Source organism: Homo sapiens, chromosome X (genome assembly GCF_000001405.40).
Source record: "Homo sapiens chromosome X, GRCh38.p14 Primary Assembly".
Classification (NCBI taxonomy): Eukaryota; Metazoa; Chordata; class Mammalia; order Primates; family Hominidae; genus Homo; species Homo sapiens.
Window position 1 is genome coordinate 109533927 of NC_000023.11, and position 18686 is coordinate 109552612.

The following is an 18686-nucleotide window of genomic DNA, read 5'->3' on the forward strand; positions in this document are numbered from 1 at the left end:
TTTGAGCCCAGACTGGTGCCAACAACAATGTGCTCAATCAAAATGCTATGCTGTGTTCCAAGAAAAGCTCTTTCACACCCTTCCTAGTCATTCTTCCCAAGTTTTATACATTTGCAGTTATCTAGTGAAGAGCAACTCCGTGTCTTATTCACTTTGTTTCCATTTGCATCCCTCCCCCTCCATCCAACATAGTTTTCATATCTTTAAATTCACTGCTCTGACAACCAGAGCCCATCATTGGTTTCTATATTATCAGTTTACCCAGTCTCCTACCTTTGTAGCACAATGTAGCAATTTCCACTTTGTAGCACAAAATTCTGTGCAAAAATTCAGTGCAAAACTGAGCTCCCCTCCACCTCTAACTCAGCTGTCCCTTTCCAGTACTTCAACCCTCCCATATTTTTCAACACTATTTCCCACACCAATAGCCATTCTCATAGCCATTAAAGAGCTCACAACAGTTGGGGTTCAGGGGACATGAAATGAGGGAAGACTTCATAGGGAAGATCGCACCTGTTCTGGTCCCTGAAGGGCAGGTAGAAATGGAGGGAACATTCCAAAATAAGAATATATAAGTAAATGCATGAATAGCCAAGTGTCTAAAAGCAGACTTTGGGATTTGAAAGTTTGGGACTGAAATCCCAGGTCCACTAGCTGTATCATCTTAACCAATTTACTTAACTTCTTTAAACTTAAGTTTAAATTTTTAAAAATCTAGATAATAATGTCTGCCTTTCTGGGGGTTGTGAGGATTGAATGAAATCATATAAAACACAATCTCTCAATCAAGAAAAACAATCACCAATGAAGTAGTAAACATCAGTCATTCTTGGCAAACAGTAGTAGTTAACTTTGCCAGTGTTGGTGAATTTGGGAGAATAGCCTGGGAAAATAAATTCAGATCAGACCAAGGTAGGTATTTAAAGATTATGAGAATTTGGAAGAAAATAGACAATAGAGTTATCAAAGTTTGTGTGGGAGGAGAGAATGAGAGGGGGAATGAGAGGGGGAAAGAGAGAGAAGTGGGGGTGAGAGAGGGAGGAGAGAATGAGATGGGGAAAGTGAGAGAAGTGTGGGGGAGAAAGGGAGGGAGAGAGCCAAGAAGAGCGAGGGAGAAAAACGAAGAGGGTTAGCCGGACGTGGTGGCTGGCGCCTGCAGTCCCAGCTACTCTCCTCGGGAGGCTGAGGCAAGGGAATTACTTGAACCCGGGCGGCGGAGGTTGGCAGCGAGCCAACATCATGCCACTGCACTCCAGCCTGGGCCACAGAGTGAGACTCTGTCTCTAAAAAAAAGAAGAAGAGGAGGAGGAGGAGGAGGAGGGGAGGGGAGGGGAAGAGGGAGAAGGGTTGCTATAGGGAATGGTCAGAACTAAGCAAGTTACTTAGTATTTCTTTGTAACTCAATGTTATGTTTATTGTCTAGCACTCTCATTACACTTTGAGCCTCACAAGGATTCGAAACATGCCTATTTTATTCACCACTCTATATACAGAGCCTTGCACAATCTTTGGCACATAGTGAATACTTGATAAATATTTATTGAATGAATTATGATGAGGAGGAGAGCGGAACCAAAAAAATAAAGATTCCGAGAATTCAAGATAGGTGACTGGGAGAATATAAAAGTTTGGAAGTGCGGAGGAAATAATGAGTTTAAATTTTGGACGTACAAGTTTGAGAAGCCTATAGTGCAGTCACGTTCATGTTTAGCAAAATTATTATGTGTAATTGGAGCTCAGATAAGGGGTGGGGGCTTGGGATAGGTTGTTGAGATTCATTAGCATACGAGTAGCAATTTAGATCACCCTGAAGAAGGGAGGCTTTAAAAGGGGGGATGCACCGGAAGTGACGCCAGTCAGAGGTTAACGGAAAACGGAAGCTGGCTGGCTGAGAAGAAGCTTCCGTTAGTCCTACCTTGAAGAGAAAAGAGCCAGATAAAGAGAAAGATTAAAAGTATGAGAAAATACAGAAGCCACTGGTCTCAGGGAGACAGAGAAGGATACCAAAGAAGAAGTAACTATTATGAGGGGCCACACACCAGCCACTCAAGGTAAAACTACGACATCTAATTAATTTGCCATTTAAATCAGAAGTCATTGGCGGCTTTGGGATGAGAGGTTTTTAAGGGGTGTTGGGGAGCAAAGCCACATTGCCATGACAGTTATATTGCTTGAGTTTGAATCTCAACTAGTTTGTGACCGTAGGCAGATTTTACAGTCTTAGCTGTAAAATGAAGATGATAAAATAATAGCAATTACCTCAGCATTGTTATAATAAGTGAATATATGTAAAACTGATTAGAAAAGCACCTTACATATAGTCAGCACTCGACATTTTAGTTATTGTTAGAATACCTTGCAGAATAAATAGCCCTTAAAAGATGGTGAATAGCACTGTAAACTTAATTTTTGTTGGTGTCCGTGAGACATTTTAAAATGCCAGAATGGAGAAACCAGATGAACTTTTCCTGTTCAATGTGGCTGGGTTAAAATGAAATAGTAATTTTAGGCATACTGCCAAAACGTAGTAATTCAGTGAGGATGATCCTTCCAGAACGTTCCAGAATGCTAAATTGTTCACTAGTCACGCACGCCTTTCCCCAAGCTCTGCCCACTTATCCTATAGGCTACGGAATAGTAGGTCTCCTCGCATTTCTAATTGGTCTTCAGAGGGCTTTGGCTCCGCCTCCTGGGGCAAAAAAGTCCCTGTAATTGAACACTTTCATTTTTGCTTGTCCCCAGGCTTGTCGTTAGAAAAGTAGGGGACTTTCCTGTTGAGTATCATGTTTACAAAAGCAAAGTGGCTTTTAAATTTTAAACTAAGTATCAAACAAGTAGATAAGGTGGATGGGAGGGATCTTCAGGAACTGAAGGGAAGTGGAACTTAAGGTTGGAACATCGGTGTGCTTTTAACGACGGACCGAGCTACTTCCGGGAGAGAATGGGAGGGTGGAAAATTTTGTGCGTTTGGCGGGTTTCGCTCTCTTCATAAGTATTGATCATTCCGCAGCCCTGCGGACCGGACACGTGAGGAGGTAGTGACGCCGACACTGCCAGAACACACTGCTACAAGGTCCCAGATGGCCACGTCTCTGGTGAGTGCCTGGGCCGTGGCAGGACGGCTGGGCGCCGGACTCCAGTGGCTGAGAGGAGGGATTCCGGGGCGGTCTGGCTGCTGCTCACGTGGATAGGTGACGAATCACGTCCCGGCTCTCTGCACTGCGGGGCGGGGCCCACGCTTTGCTGCCCGCCCTGCCGGCCCCACCCCCAGCCTGGTTAGCAGTCGCTTTCTGATCCCGGAAAGGACCCTGAGCTGGGAAATAGCGAGAGGCGGGGATGTTGGGGTTTGTTGTTTATGGCTTGCAGTTTCTTTCTCTCGATTATCTTCCTCTCTAAAAATCACTTTCAGTCACCTGACAAAGAAACTGGCGATTCATTGTTCTTAATTTAGTAATAGACTGGGCCCCGTACATGAATGAGAAGGAAGGTATTCCTTAATTCTCCGGCACGAACGCCAACAGCGTTGCTTTCTTCGGTGTCACAGTTCTTAGGCAAACAGCAGTGAATATTTACGCAATGTGGGAAAGTTTCCTAAGTGGAGCTGCCGGTTTTTCAAGTAGTTGAACTACTTTCGTGTGTGTGTGTGTGTGTGTGTGTGTGTGTTTCCCATTCATCAACTTTGGAGTTTGGCTCTAACACCTCACTTGAAAACAGAAAACAATTTCCTAGCTTATTCAGTGGCAGTTTTTGCCGCTCTCTCTCCTTTTCTAAGGTTCAGGTGGTGTCATTTTCATTGCCGTGAATGTTTGTAAAATATTGAAAGTCTAAAGTGCTTAGTTGCCAAGAAAAGATTATAAATTTATATGTGGAGACTGAAAAAGACTCAGATTCATTGAGAAGATTATGTCCTAAAGACATGCACTTAAAATTAGTGAAAAATTTTAAAATTGCAAACTTCAGAGTCCGGCCTTTAAAATGTCTGAATTTATATGAAAGAATGTGGACTGTATATAGAGCTACATAGTGGTTGAAATAAATCATCAGCTTCTGTCAGTGGTTTTGTGTTTGTGAGGGGTTGAAAAGGTTGGTAATCTATACTTCTGGAATTTTTCTTGTAGGATTTTAAAACTTATGTAGATCAGGCATGTAGAGCTGCTGAGGAGTTTGTCAATATTTACTATGAGACAATGGATAAAAGAAGACGGGTGAGTGTTATAGACTCTACTACTCTTTATAGACTACTACTCTTTATTAAATACCAGGTTGTGTCTGGAGCCAGCGTTTCATCTGACTTGCATAAGTGGTAACTGTGGATTTACTCTTTAAAAGCAAATTGCTCAGGGAAGGATTGGTATGGCATTAGTGGGAACATGGGCTCTGGAATCATATCCCAGGTTTACTTTTACCTAGTTCTTTGACCTGGAGCAAGTTGCCATTTTCCCTTAACCTCATTTTATTTTCAGGTTGGTAAGTATGAATTAATTAAAATACCGCACTTAACATTAGGCCCAGCATATTTTCTTAAATATGTTTCCTTTTCTTAGTTCCATCAATTAACCAATATGGTTAAGGTATTATTAGTGCTAATGAAGGGGTGGGTCATTACGGGGAATATTTCCTGATTCGCCCCTTTTATTTCATATATTTATAGATAATTTCTGATCATGGCTCAAAAGTATAGCTTACACCCACAAAAAGTATGCATGTAGCATGGATAATATTAAGTCCTCAACAGACCGAGATTTCATCAGCTTTTTCATTGCAACTTATCCCTGCACCATATCTTTTACGTAATTATGTCAGTATGTGGTCAAGTGAGTCTTGCCTAGGTCTCTTACCAGCATAGAACTGTGCTTTGGAGAACTACTTCTGTCCTGCAGCTGCAAAAGTTAATACCCTATCTCTAAAAACCTATTTTTTATATAAAACCCATTTATTAAGCATAGGATTTTATATATATATATACTTTAAGTTCTGGGATACATGTGCAGAATGTGCAGGTTTGTTACATAGGTATACACGTGCCAAGGTGGTTTGCTGCACCCATCAACCCGTCATCTACATTAGGTATTTCTCCTAATGCTATCCCTCCTCTAGCCCCCCACCCCCTGACAGGCCCAGGTGTGTGATGTTCCCTTCCCTGTGTCCATGTGTTCTCATTATTCAACTCCTACTTATGAGTGAAAACATAACTGTGTTTGGTTTTCTGTCCCTGTGTTAGTTTGCTGAGAATGATGGTTTCCAACTTCATCCATGTCCCTGCAAAGAACAGGAACTCATCCTTTTTTATGGCTGCATAGTATTCCATGGTGTATATGTGCCACATTTTCTTTATCCAGTCTAACATTGATGGGCATTTGGGTTGGTTCCAAGTCTTTGCTATTGTGAATAGTGCCACAATAAACATATGTGTGCATGTGTCTTTATAGTAGAATCATTTATAATACTTTGGGTATATACCCAGTAATGGGATTGCTGGGTCAAATGGTATTTCTGGTTCTAGTTCCTTGAAAAATGGCCACACTGTCTTCTATAATGGTTGAACTAATTTACATTCCCACCCACAGTGTAAAAGCATTCCTATTTCTCCACATCCTCTCCAGCATCTGTTGTTTCCTGACTTTTTAATGATTGCCATTCTGACTGGCGTGAGATGGTATCTCATTGTGGTTTTGATTTGCACTTCTCTAATGACCAGTGATGATGAGGATTTTTTCATATGTTTGCTGGCCACTTCTTCTTTTGAGAAGTGTCTGTTCATATCCTTTGCCCACTTTTTGATGGGGTTGTTTTTTCTTGTAAATTTGTTTAAGTTCCTGTAGATTTGGAAATTAATAGATTGCAAAAATTTTTTCCCATTCTGTAGGCTGCCTGTTCACTCTGATGATAGTTTCTTTTGCTGTGCAGAAGCTGTTTAGTTTAATTAGATCCCATTTGTCAATTTTGGTTTTTATTGCCATTGCTTTTGGTGTTTTAGTCATGAACTCTTTGCCCATGCCTGTGTCCTGAATGATATTGCCTAGGTTTATGGTTTTGGGTGTTACGTTTAAGTGTTTAATCCATCTTGAGTTAATTTTTGTATAAAGTGTAAGGAAGGGGTCCAGTTTCAGTTTTCTGCATATGACTAGCCAGTTTTCCCAGCACCATTTATTAAATAGGGAATCCTTTCCCCATTGCTTGTTTTTGTCAGGTGAAAACCAATTTTTTAAGGCAAAAGATAAAAGAAGTTTCTTGTACTGATATTTGATGTCAGGGAAAAGGGTTGTGACAATGGATGTTTATTGTGCCTTGCCTTGAATGTGTATTGTACCTTACTGCTTTCAAAAAATAAAGTAGAAAAAAAAAGACAACATTGTTTATTACCAGTGTCAATATATGTGTTGACCTTTTTTTTTATTTTTATTTATTTATTTTTTTTTGAGATGGTGTCTCACTCTGTCACCCAGGTTGGAGTGCAGTGGCGCGATCTTGGCTAACTGCAACCTCTGCCTCCCGGGTTCAAGCGATTCTCCTGCCTCAGCCTCCCAAGTAGCTGGGATTACAGGCAACTGCCACCACGCCCGGCTAATTTTTGTAGTTTTAGTAGAGATGGGGTTTCACCATCTTGACCAGGCTGGTCTTGAACTCCTTACCTCATGATCCACCCGCCTCAGCCTCCCAAAGTGCTGGTATTATAGGCGTGAGCCACCATGCCTGCCTGGCCTTTTAACCCAAGTTACATTATAGAATTAAGCTAATAGTGTGTCTTGTGACCCCAGAGTTTTAACTGTGGAATTTCTGCCTCATTTGGGCCTTAACTTATTTGACTTATCGAAGTCTCTGCTTTAGCAAGTACTCATGATTCTTTTGAACTAAGTACACTAATAGAGTAGTACTATAGCCGAGCATGGTATGACATGCCTGTAACCCCAGCTACTTGGGAGGCTGAGGCAAGAGGATTTCTTGACCCCAAGAGTTTGAGACCAGCCTGAGGCAACAGAGCAGGACCCTGTCTCAATTTTTTTAAAAAACAGAATAATTTTTAAGAAAACATAAACCTCTTCTCTAAAAAGTGGGAGTAGTGAACTAATTCTTTCTAACACATGCAAATATTAAATGTTTCATATATATATATAGCCACTAGCATTAAAGGGTACAGGTAGGGCTTGATCAAAAACTTTGTTAATTCTCATAATTACAAAAGGAAGACACACTAAAACTGGCTTGGGGCTGCATTTGCTTGGAATTTGTGATCATTTAATTCATTTGAATACAGAAAGCAGAACTTAATTGGGTGGAAGGTTTTATTGTGTCTAAAGTGAAATATGAAAAAATATATTTTACTGCCTAGTTTATAAAGAGTAAGGTGATATTTATTTAAGGCCAAGATTATAAGACAGACGTTTTGTTCACATGGGTTTCCAGTGGAGATGGAGCAAGGGGAGTGGAGATGAAGGTAGAACTACAAAAAATGTTTATATACCATCTGTAATATTTTAATCCATTTCTATAAAATGTTTATCTAGAAACAGAATTATTTCCCTTTTTTAAATTTGTCTTTCTTTTTAGGCACTAACCAGGCTGTATCTGGACAAGGCCACCTTAATATGGAATGGAAATGCTGTTTCAGGGCTGGATGCCCTAAATAATTTTTTTGACACATTGCCTTCTAGTGAGTTCCAGGTCAATATGTTAGATTGCCAACCAGTTCATGGTAAGATCATGATCTTTCAAGATGCTTCCTTTGTTTTCCTCTAGTAAGCACTGAGCTTTTACACCAAAAGCAGCGAGAAACTTTTAGTGGTAGAACTATTTACTTACTTGAGCAAGTTAAATATTATGAAAAATGTAACTGTCCAGTCAAACTTTGGTCTTCCTTCAGATTCTTTCCACTAGTAGCTTTTGATGGATTATGTGATTTTGGCTTATTAAAAGTTGTATGAAAAGTTGAGATTAATGTGATTTTTGTAAATGGCAGGGAAAGATTATCTGATTTCTCTAAATAGTTGCCTGCTGGACCCTGAAATGTCTCCAGAGTAAAATTATACCATATCTCTGATTAATGTGTTCAGTATCTTACAATCTACTAATATTTCACAGAAATTTACTCTGTTATGTGAAAGGATGACTTTTTACAAGAAAATTTGATTCCAGGTAGATTGATACAGTTTAATAAAACCTCTAGGTGGGGTCCTAAGTGTCTTAAATTGTAGTTCAGGGTGATTTTTTTCCTTTATAATTCCTGAAAAGAACAATAGTTTAAGAAGCAAAGCATGAATAAGCTCTGTTAGAAACCTGAAATATTAATTCTGAAATATTTATATATATATGAAGCAAATGGTCCTATGCTAGATATAAGCTCCTCATTTTGAAACTAGAGTATCCCAAAGTTTTCTGGACTGAAAATAATTTTAATATCTTTTACTAAGTACTTAGTTTTCTGGGTTTGAGTATGCATGCTTAAGATTATGCTCAAGGGACAGAAAGTGTATGAAAAAAATTTTAAGCATTAGTCCATAAACAATGTATTTTAAGCCTGAAAATCTGCTTATTTAGAGATAGAAAATGATGTGTTCTCTTTTTTTTTTAATGTGGATGAAGAGCAAGCAACTCAGTCCCAAACTACAGTTCTTGTTGTGACCAGTGGAACTGTGAAGTTTGATGGAAACAAACAACATTTCTTCAACCAGAACTTCCTGCTGACTGCTCAGTCCACTCCCAACAATACTGTGTGGAAGATTGCAAGTGATTGCTTCCGTTTTCAAGATTGGTCTAGTAGTTAAAGGGGCAAAAGTCCATTCTCATTTGGTCCATTAGTTCCAGCAATTGAAATTTATGTGAATTATTTTGATTGTAGAAGCACTATAATATGTGCTGAAACTAAATTTCTTTAATATTTTCTATTCCTGTCAGCACCTTTTCTAGCAGCTGCCAGTTTGGAGCATTGCCCTCTAAGAGCTTTAAAACTATTTTTTTACATGCCTTATATACATTCCACTAATGACATTCTTATAATAATATTAAACACATGATCTTGGTACTAACATACTCACTGTGAACCCAGCCTATTGCAAAAATAAAATCTTTTTATAATATTATCTATGGGATGTCAGCACAATATAACACTCTGGGAAGAAGTGGAGTTTTTTGGTTATTAGGTTAATTTTCTAGTAAAACACGTTGCCTGTTTTCAGTTAACACTGGTAATGCCATTTTAATATATGGCTTTTTCAAATCAGTTCAGTGAAAATAGTACAGATTTAGGTTTACATAACTACTCTGACATACTGGAATTGCATATAGAGATGTTCAGTGGTCGTTTTTCATTTTAAGTAATTTTTGTTTTGGCATTTTTTTGTGTGAAGTAAATTAATCAACTAGAGAGGTGCAAAACGTTCTCAGTTGATATCTGAGTATTGGGTGCATTTGGTGGCTTAAAAGCAAAGCTTCCTAAAAAGATTTTTCTTGGCAGCTCCAGGTCTATACATTTAGGTAATGAATGGTAGTAGAACTAATAGCTTTAACAGGAGAATAGGGAATGAGAAATAGAAATCCAAGGCTGAAGCCAAAAGTAAGGAGGGTGGCCAAATGGTAAACTATTGGTACTTGTTTTCTACCTCCTAAAAATGTAGCTTATTTTTAGGATTTAAATCACTAAGTAAATAAGTATCCTTGCCAAGTGATCATGAGTGTCATTTTTGTTCTAAGACTAATATTTTTAGATCTTTTTACTTCACCTCATACTTATCACCAATGTATATCTCCATTTATTCAATAACTTACTGGGGTAAAATAACAGCAATAAACCTAACCTTTTAACAGGGTCTAACATGAGAGTTGGAGTCAAAGCCATTGTTATCTTTTGGTGACACCCTTAAATTTTAAGTCTTCCAGTCTTCCATGTGAACTTTAGGCCCAAAGTTTCTTATGTATCACACATCCCCCAAATAAGTGATTTTTTCCCAGTGCTTTGTACTGTCAACTGCATTATCTTTAATTATTTAAAGGTAGAATTATTTAATTTTGTGATTTGTTCTTCCATATGACATTGAGCAAATAGATCTGTTTCAAAATATGTTCCCGCTATGTGGATAACTCTTCTTTTTAAAAAGAAAATAGAGAATAGCAAATCTTCATGATAATCCTCAAAAGAACAAAATGCTTAACTTTATCTCTTAATTTCTAAAGGTAAATAACCTAGGTTCAGCTTTTGCTTAAACATTAAATATCTTTTCCATTTTTTAATGTTTGTAAGCTAGATATGCCAGCTTTGTTTCTACATTGCAACCAAAAACTGTTTCTTTTCACTTAATTATAAAACCAGTAATTCATTTACTCTTGCCCAAAACTATACACTGTATTTCTGTTATAGTAACAAAATAGAGTTATGTAGAATTGTATGGAACTCAAATTTAAACCATGCTTTCTTGTAGTACTGATTGAAACTTACACGTTTTATTCTACTCATAGTGAGCTTATTCTTATTTTGGATTGATTTTCCAAAACCACAGCTTCAGCAGCAACAATCAGAATGTCCAAATGCTGTCCTTTCCCTTACAGAGAAGAACAATGGTAACTAAAAGCTGCATATAACTAGCAATAACTACATTGAACGGTGTGCATTGTTCATGATTGTTGTGTTTTAAGACTTGTATATAAACTGCTTTTTCCAAACTCTGTATAACTTTTAAATGGCTGGAACTACTCGTATAAGGACTAGACTGTATTTTTGACATGCTCCTATTTTTGTAACTTGAAAAAATAAAATTTTGCCTTGTGACAGATTTTCTCAAGATTGTTTTAAGGTCTTTTGATTTTTGTTCTTAGGTTTCAGAATGGTTACTTGTTTCTTTACAATATAAGGTTTTTTAAATTTAGAAAAAAATTACAGTAGTGTGTTGACAACAATGGTTAACAACTTGGATCTTCTTTTGGTTCTTTCTGTAACCTGCCACATCTGTCTCCTTTTCCTGCCAATTATTCACATTCCTGAGATCATCACTTGTTTGAGATACCTGTAGGTTTTTGGTGAGAAGTTGGAAATCTTAACCTTGAGAAACCAGCTAAAATGCTATATTCGATAGGCAGTGAAACCAAAATACAGTTGATTTCCAGAAAGAATGGTTCATTAAATTTAATTCTACATTAAAAATATGTCAACACTACTGGGTAAATAACGAAATGAAGGCAGAAATAAAGATGTTCTTTGAAACCAATGAGAACAAAGACACAACATACCAGAATCTCTGGGACACATTTGAAGCAGTGTGTAGAGGGAAATTTATAGCACTAAATGCCCACAAGAGAAAGCAGAAAAGATCGAAAATCGACACCCTAACATCACAATTAAAAAAACTAGAGAAGCAAGAGCAAACACATTCAAAAGCTAGCAGAAGGCAAGAAATAACTAACATCAGAGCAGAACTGAAGGAGATAGAGACACACACACACAAAAAAAAACCCTTCAAAAAATCAATGAATCCAGGAGCTGGTTTTTTGAAAAGATCAACAAAATAGATAGAGTACTAGTAAGACTAATAAAGAAGAAACCCCTGTGGGAGGCAATTAATTCAAAGAGAACTACAAACCACTGCTCAACGAAATAAAAGAGGACACAAACAAATGGAAGAACATTCCATGCTCATGGATAGGAAGAATCAATATTGTGAAAATGGCCATACTGCCCAAGGTAATTTATAGATTCAATGCCATCCCCATCAAGCTACCAAGAACTTTCTTCACAGAATTGGAAAACACTGCTTTAAAGTTCATATGGAGCTAAAAAAAGAGCCTGCATTGCCAAGACAATCCTAAGCAAAAAGAATAAAGCTGGAGGCATCATGCTACCTGACTTCAAACTATACTACAAGGCTACAGTAACCAAAACAGCATGGTACTGGTACCAAAACAGAGACATAGACCAATGGAACAGAATAGAGCCCTCAGAAATAATAACACACATCTACAACCATCTGATCTTTGACAAACCTGACAAAAACAAGAAATGGGGAAAGGATTCCCTACTGGTGCTGGGAAAACTGACTAGCCATATGTAGAAAGCTGAAACTGGATCCCTTCCTTACACTTTATACAAAAATTAATTCAAGATGGATTAAAGGCTTAAATGTTAGACCTAAAACCATAAAAACCCTAGAAGAAAACCTAGGCAGTATCATTCAGGACATAGGCATGGGCAAGGACTTCATGACTAAAACACCAAAAGCAGTGGCAACAAAAGCCAAAATACACAAATGGAATCTAATTAAACTAAAGAGCTTCTGCACAGTAAAAGAAACTACCATCAGAGTGAACAGGCAACCTACAGAATGGGAGAAAATTTTTGCAATCTACCCATCTGACAAAGGGCTAATATCCAGAATCGACAAAGGGCTAATATCCAGAATCTACAAAGAACTTAAACAAAATTACAAGAAAAAAATCCACCCATCAAAAAGTGGGCAAATGATATGAACAGACACTTCTTAAGACATTTATGCAGCCAACAGACACATGAAAAAATGCTCATCATCACTGGCCATCAGAGAAATGCAAATCAAAACCACAATGAGATACCATCTCACACCAGTTAGAATGGCGATCATTAAAAAGTCAGGAAACAACAGGTGCTGGAGAGGATGTGGAGAAATAGGAACGCTTTTACACTGTTGGTGGGATTGTAAACTAGTTCAACCATTGTGGAAGACAGTGTGGCGATTCCTCAAGGATCTAGAACCAGAAATACCATTTGACCCAGCCATCCCATTACTGGGTATATATCCAAAAGATTATAAATCATGCTGGTGTAAAGACACATGCACACATGTTTATTGTGGCACTATTCACAATAGCAAAGACTTGGAACAAACCCAAATGTCCATCAATGATAGACTGGATTAAGAAAATGTGGCACATATACAGCATGGACTAATATGCAGCCATAAAAAAGGATGAGTTCATGTCCTTTCTGGGGACATGGATGAAGCTGGAAACCATCATTCTGAGCAAGCTATGGCAAGGACAGAAAACCAAACACCGCATGTTTTCACTTACAGGTGGGAATTGAACAATGAGAACACATGGACACAGGGTGGGGAACATCACACACCGGGGCCTGTTGTGGGGTGGGGGGAGTGGGGAGGGATGGCATTAGGAGAAATACCTAATGTAAAGGATGAGTTGATGGGTGCAGCACACCAACATGGCACATGTATACATATGTAACAAACCTGCATGTTCTGCACATGTACCCTAAAACTTAAAGTATAATAAAAAAAGAAAATTAAAAAAATATATATGTCAGCAGACTTTTTTGGAGGGGAATGAGAAGAAGCAACAGCCAGCCAGGCATGGTGGCTTACGCCTGTAATCTTAACACTTTCTGAGGCTGAAGTGGGCAGATCACTTGAGCCCAGGAATTCGAGACCAGCCTGGGCAAAATAGCAAGACCACTGTCTCTACAAAAGTAAGTTAGCAGGGCAAAATGGCATATGCCCAGCTACTCAGGAAGCTAAGTTGGGAGCATCGCTTGAGCCCAGGAGCTCAAGGCTGCAATGAGCCATAACTGCACAACTGCACTCCAGCATGGGCAACAGCAAGACCTCATCTCTAATTTTAAAGCACAGTAATAGCTCTTAAAATTAAATATCATATTTTATCTCTTCAAAGATGCATGTATTTTTCACATTTTAACATCTCTGGAATTGGTACAGATCTTAAATTGATGCCATATTATAGTTGTGTCTCATTTCCCCTTTCTCAGTGGTAAAGTAATGGTGAGTCTTATAAACAATGGCATCTTAGGAGTTTTGCCTAGATAAAAATGGCTAGGAATCTACTTAGGTCTAAATTTGTAGGCGTTAGTGGAAGTAAAAGGCTGTAAGCTTACAAGACTAATAATTCATGACTCAAACAAATTCTGTCACCATGCCATTTGTATTTCTTGAGTAGCCCATATGGCTGTAAGAGCCACAGATTCCTCAGTGAATTTGAGTCATGGTAACATTTTCATACTTTTTGGAAATCACCTAGTAATGTATAGTGTATCTATAAAGATAGCCCCAGTAAGGTTCAAGGATAAGCACAGTGTTTGGAAAAGGAGCAGGAAGTCAAAAGCCAAGAAGGTACTGTGAATTCTTTTCTGAAATTTTGATGAATTCACTATTTGCCTGAAATTGGGCAGGAAATTTGGTAGAAGGGGATTCCATTTACTGATTTTTGTTATAAGCCTGTGTTGTCCTTCCTGTCCTATGTGTGCTTTAACATAACCACACATATTTAGGGGAAAATGGTAAGGCATTTTTGGCTTTTTGATTTTGTAGTTGGCTCTGTATAATAAAAGTATTTCATCGAAACACTTTTTTCCAAACTGCTGTATTCTATTAATAAATGCTTACCTTTTGCCAAATGCAGCTTTCTTTACAAAAGAGTTCTCAGTGACTCTCAGTCAGCTATGTAGGTCAGTCTAGCTTTCTAGGGAAGCAGTAAAAGGTAGAAAAATGTATTGTTGGAATAATGTGTCAGATGGAGGGGTCTTAGGACACAACATAAATCTGGGATTGTGGTATATGCATTCTTTAGAGAGAGAGCTTTCAAAATTTTCACTATGACCCACAGTGAGAAGTATATTTTACATCACAACCCGGTATACAGATGCACAAGTAAACCTATATATGTGGGTGTATGTGTGTGTGTGTGTGTGTGTGTGTGTGTGTGTATAATGTCCAAAATAAAACTCACGTTTACCACTTGCAGTGTGGTCCTTGCATTTTCTATTTCATTCTATTATTTTTTTTAAATGCTGGTCATAAGTTGCTCAACTGATTTTTTTACAACTTCCTAACGGGTTGTACCATCAGTTTGAAAAACACAAAAATAGATCAAGCATATTTTCACTATCACTTTTGAGTAGGGGTATAGGGCTGGCTTCCAATAGGTAGTGCCATATATCAATGATGTCACCCTGACTTAGAAGTGACCAAAAACTTCTTTCTCTTCTCAGGTTTTTCATATTTGTTGAGGGCCATGAAGGGCAGCAGTGTTTGCCTCCCGTTCTTTGGTTTGCACGAGAAGTTCAGAGCTAAGAAAGCAAATGTTTACATAGTCTTTAGGCAGAGTCTGGGAATAGAATGAGCGGCAATGAAAAGGAGTTGAAATGGAAGGAACTGTGCTATTTCAGGTGTCCAAGGAAAGAAGTGAGAAGGCTTTCTAGCAGGACCACTTTTGAACATGATCTGATATTATGTAAGCTGTATTTTGATAAATTTTAAATTTCATGTGTTTTTTTCCTTTTCCTCCCTCCTTGAACACCCCAAACATCTACATATCAACTCCCCTTGTTTGACAAAGGCTGTGGTGGTCTCTAAGGTGTAATCCTGGTCCCAGACCCAAAGAAGACCTGTGTTCTAAGGCTGTTCTGCCCCTAATGTGTTTTGTGACTTTGCACAATTCACTTACTCTGGGCCTCTCTCTTCAGCTATTGAATGGAAATACTATTTGTCCTATCTGGCCCACCAAGTGGTTGTGAGAATCAAATAAGGCAACAAACGAAAATATTTAAGTGCCACGTGCTACACAAATACAATGGTTATAGTTTTTGGCTTGATGATTGGTTTCCTCCCTTCCAAAAATTCTGGTTTTCTTTAAGGGTAAAATCAATTGAGAGTGACTGTTTCCCGCAGCCAGACACTCATTCTAAACCTTGCCCCTGACTTTACCAGGTAGTTGTTAAACCAGCTCCGCAAAAAAAGTCTAAGATTAGATTTATAGAGATGGTTATTTTACTGTTAAAAAAAAAAAAAAGGATTCAGGGCCCTAAAGGAAACGATAGTAATTTTGCAAATGTATTTTCAAGTAGTCTTTCTGTAACTAGAAAAACAAAATTGACTGTAACATTATTCATTCCAATTCTCTTGCTCAACGGCAAGAAATTGGCAGTAGATGCCTGCAACACTTAACCAAGCCCAGGTACCACGGTCTGACTTGGAAACCTGAGCTGCCTGAGGTAGCCAATAAGCACTTTGTTTTCCTGACTCTTTTTTTTTTTTGAGAGGGGTCTCGCTCTGTCACCCAGGCTGGAGTGCAGTGGCCTGATCTCAGCTCACTGCAAGGTCCACCTCCCAGGTTCGCACCATTCTCCTGCCTCAGCCTCCCGAGTAGCTGGGTCTACAGGCGCCCGCCACTGCGCCCGGCTAATTTTTTGTATTTTTAGTAGAGACAGCGTTTCACCGTGTTAGCCAGGATGGTCTTGATCTACTGACCTCGTGATCTGCCCGCCTCGGCCTCCCAAAGTGCTGGGATTACAGGTGTGAGCCACCGGGCCCGGCCGTTTTCCTGACTCTTTTTTGTTGTTTCTGAAAGAGCCTCTGGAAATGATTTTTCTAAGGTACTAATCCGTCCATCTGTGGCATCCAGGATTCCCAATGGTCTGGGCTCAATCTCAGACCTAATAATTCACTGGCTTTGGATGTTGCTGAGGAGAAAAGACAAGCCTGGGAGAAGGGATGGAAGGAGTAATTAGCTGGGGGAAGGTGAGGGAGAATGGTAGGTAGGGACAGTTGGGAAGATACTGCTTTCCAAACAACTGAAAATAAAAGGAGAGGAAGACGGGAGAGAGAAACTAGGAAAAACAGCCTCCCCAGACAGGTAATTTATAATAACTGGGAGGAAAATGAGAACTGCAGCTAAAAATATGTATACACTCACAAATCCCTGGAAGGCCAGTGGCAAAACTAGGAACTAGGAGACTTCCTACCTCCATGCCCCTTTCTCCCATCCTTCTCAGGCCCTATATTGCTATGCTTCCTAAGGCCCACACTGTGGTAGACTCTAGACCTAGCCTGCCCTCTTTTCAAATCCCTCAGGCCTCACCCTCTCCTTTCGAGCTAAATCTGTTAACTCATTACTTTGGAGGCAATAGGCTTTTATCTTGGGGTTGTTGCATTTTGGCTGGCAGTATCTGGAACAATACCATAACTGAAAGGAATATTTCATTAGTCTTGGTGTCAGAAGCGTTTGAACCATAGCAACTCCATCTTGAGCAGTGGCTGGGTAAAATGAGGCTGAAACCTGCTGGGCTGCATTCCCAGGAGATTAAAGCATTCTAAGTCACAGGATGAGATAGGATGTCAGCACAAGATGTAGGTCATAAAGACCTTGCTGATAAAACAGGTAGCACTAACAAAGGCGGCCAAAACCCACCAAAACCAATATGGTGACAAGAGGAGTAACCTCTGGTCATCCTCATTGCTACACTCCCACTAGCACCATGACAGTTTGCAAATGCCATGGCAACGTCAGGAAGTTACCCTATATAGTCTAAAAAGGGAAAGCATGAATAATCCACTCCTTGTTTAGCATATAATTTTTTTAAACATAAAAATAGGCAACCAGCAGCCCTTGGGGCTGCTCTGCCTATGCAGTAGCCATTCTTTTTATTTCTTTACTTTCTTAATAAACATGCTTTCACTTTACTCTGTGGACTCCCCTCAAAATCTTTCTTGCTCAAGATGCAAGAACCCTCTCTTGGGGTCTGGATCGGGAGCCCTTTCTGGTAACATTTTTCTGGTGAACCCCAAGGGATGATACTGAAGAAACTCGTGACCAAAAGGAAAATCATCTGTGCACACCAATTGGCCGACTTTGGGTAAGTGAGGTGCATATACCTGGGTAAAGGATGGGATTGGGTTAGAGGCCCAACTTAGGGGAGTTAGAGTCTCTCCTAAGACAGAGAGGGTTAAAGGGCCCTCTCAATAAAAGGCAACAACGCTTGACCAAACTTGGGTTGGAGGCCCAATTGAGGAAGGTTAGAGTCCTTCCTAAGATTTAGGAGGTTAGAGGACCCTCTCAGTAAAGGTACTCTCAGCTACGAACAGGTTTGGCACTATGGGATGTTAACGGCTATTCTCTTTGAATTAATCTACCTTGCAGTCTGCTGATGGCTGTGGGTGACAGGATGAGGCATGTATGGGACCATGGGACATGGGGAGCTTTTTTCTCCCTAAAAGGGGAAACTTGAGAGCTAATGGGACTGCTGGAAAAGATCCCTTTGCAACCGACAAGCAGCTGCCTGAACTTTTCAATCACGCTGGGATGGGTGGATCTTTCTTGGGCCTCTGTGAGATGCTCGCCTTCCCCACCCTGCCGCAAGCAATGCTTCTCTCTCTCTCTTTCTCTTTCCTGTCTTTTCTATTACTCAGGGCGACCATCTTGCCCAGAGACCACATGTTGAAAAATGTCCTTGGCAGATTAACCTTGTAACCACATGGCAGTACTTTCTCTTGGTCTCTGCCATCACAATAGCAGCCTGGGTTCAATTCCCAGCTTAGGGAATGAGTACTTTCTGGTTTAATATCTGTGTGACCTTTGCCATTTGTTGGTTCTCTTTCCCTCCACTAACTGTCTTGAGTTTTACTTTCTCAGTGCAACTATTAGGTTACTTTTGGTAAAGTTCAAAAGCCAAAAATATCGGCCGATTGGCTTGGCTAAAAGTTGGGTAATACATTTTAATTTTAAAATTTTAAATTTTAAAAGGACTCTTTTTTTTAGAGTGCTGTGGTTAAAAGTCAGCTTAATTAAAAGCAGATATTCTAGCTCTAATAGGTGGGGACTCAGGAAAAGCAGAGGAGGCACCACAGACCCTGCTTGGGGAAAAACCTCTGTCTTCCTCATGAAACCCCAGGAATTAAAAGTGGATAGATCCCTCTCAAAAT

General features: G+C 39.4%; 1 protein-coding gene across 5 annotated transcripts, besides 3 other annotated features; it reads left to right on the forward strand.

Annotated features, from left to right (window-relative positions):
• NXT2 (nuclear transport factor 2 like export factor 2) lies at positions 1898-10772 on the forward strand. Of its 5 annotated transcripts, NM_018698.5 has the most exons (5): positions 1898-2051; positions 3011-3095; positions 4119-4205; positions 7549-7693; positions 8581-10772. In NM_018698.5, the coding sequence occupies exons 1-5, from the start codon at positions 1957-1959 to the stop codon at positions 8760-8762; spliced, it is 594 nt and encodes a 197-aa protein (NP_061168.2). In that variant the 5' UTR covers positions 1898-1956; the 3' UTR covers positions 8763-10772. The 5 variants fall into 5 exon arrangements, with proteins under 5 accessions (NP_061168.2, NP_001229546.1, XP_011529291.1 ...); NM_001242617.2 differs by lacking the exon at positions 1898-2051 and having other exon boundaries at positions 2918-3095; XM_011530989.3 differs by lacking the exons at positions 1898-2051; positions 3011-3095 and adding an exon at positions 3279-3487.
• Positions 2899-3098: an enhancer, noted in NCBI's record as "active region_29843". NCBI's record gives its function as "activates an Ori minimal core promoter by ATAC-STARR-seq in GM12878 lymphoblastoid cells {active_cell/tissue: GM12878}" and the evidence as "EXISTENCE:reporter gene assay evidence [ECO:0000049][PMID:35858748]".
• Positions 3229-3278: a silencer, noted in NCBI's record as "silent region_20935". NCBI's record gives its function as "represses an Ori minimal core promoter by ATAC-STARR-seq in GM12878 lymphoblastoid cells {active_cell/tissue: GM12878}" and the evidence as "EXISTENCE:reporter gene assay evidence [ECO:0000049][PMID:35858748]".
• Positions 3389-3448: an enhancer, noted in NCBI's record as "active region_29844". NCBI's record gives its function as "activates an Ori minimal core promoter by ATAC-STARR-seq in GM12878 lymphoblastoid cells {active_cell/tissue: GM12878}" and the evidence as "EXISTENCE:reporter gene assay evidence [ECO:0000049][PMID:35858748]".

Excerpts from the sequence above, each read along its gene's own strand:
- NXT2 (NM_018698.5), top strand. The coding sequence starts at position 1,957 with ATGAGAAAATACAGAAGCCACTGGTCTCAGGGAGACAGAGAAGGATAC. Across the intron at positions 2,052-3,010 it reads CCACACACCAGCCACTCAAG|CCCTGCGGACCGGACACGTG; the intron begins GTAAAACTACGA and ends ATCATTCCGCAG. Across the intron at positions 7,694-8,580 it reads AGATTGCCAACCAGTTCATG|AGCAAGCAACTCAGTCCCAA; the intron begins GTAAGATCATGA and ends ATGTGGATGAAG.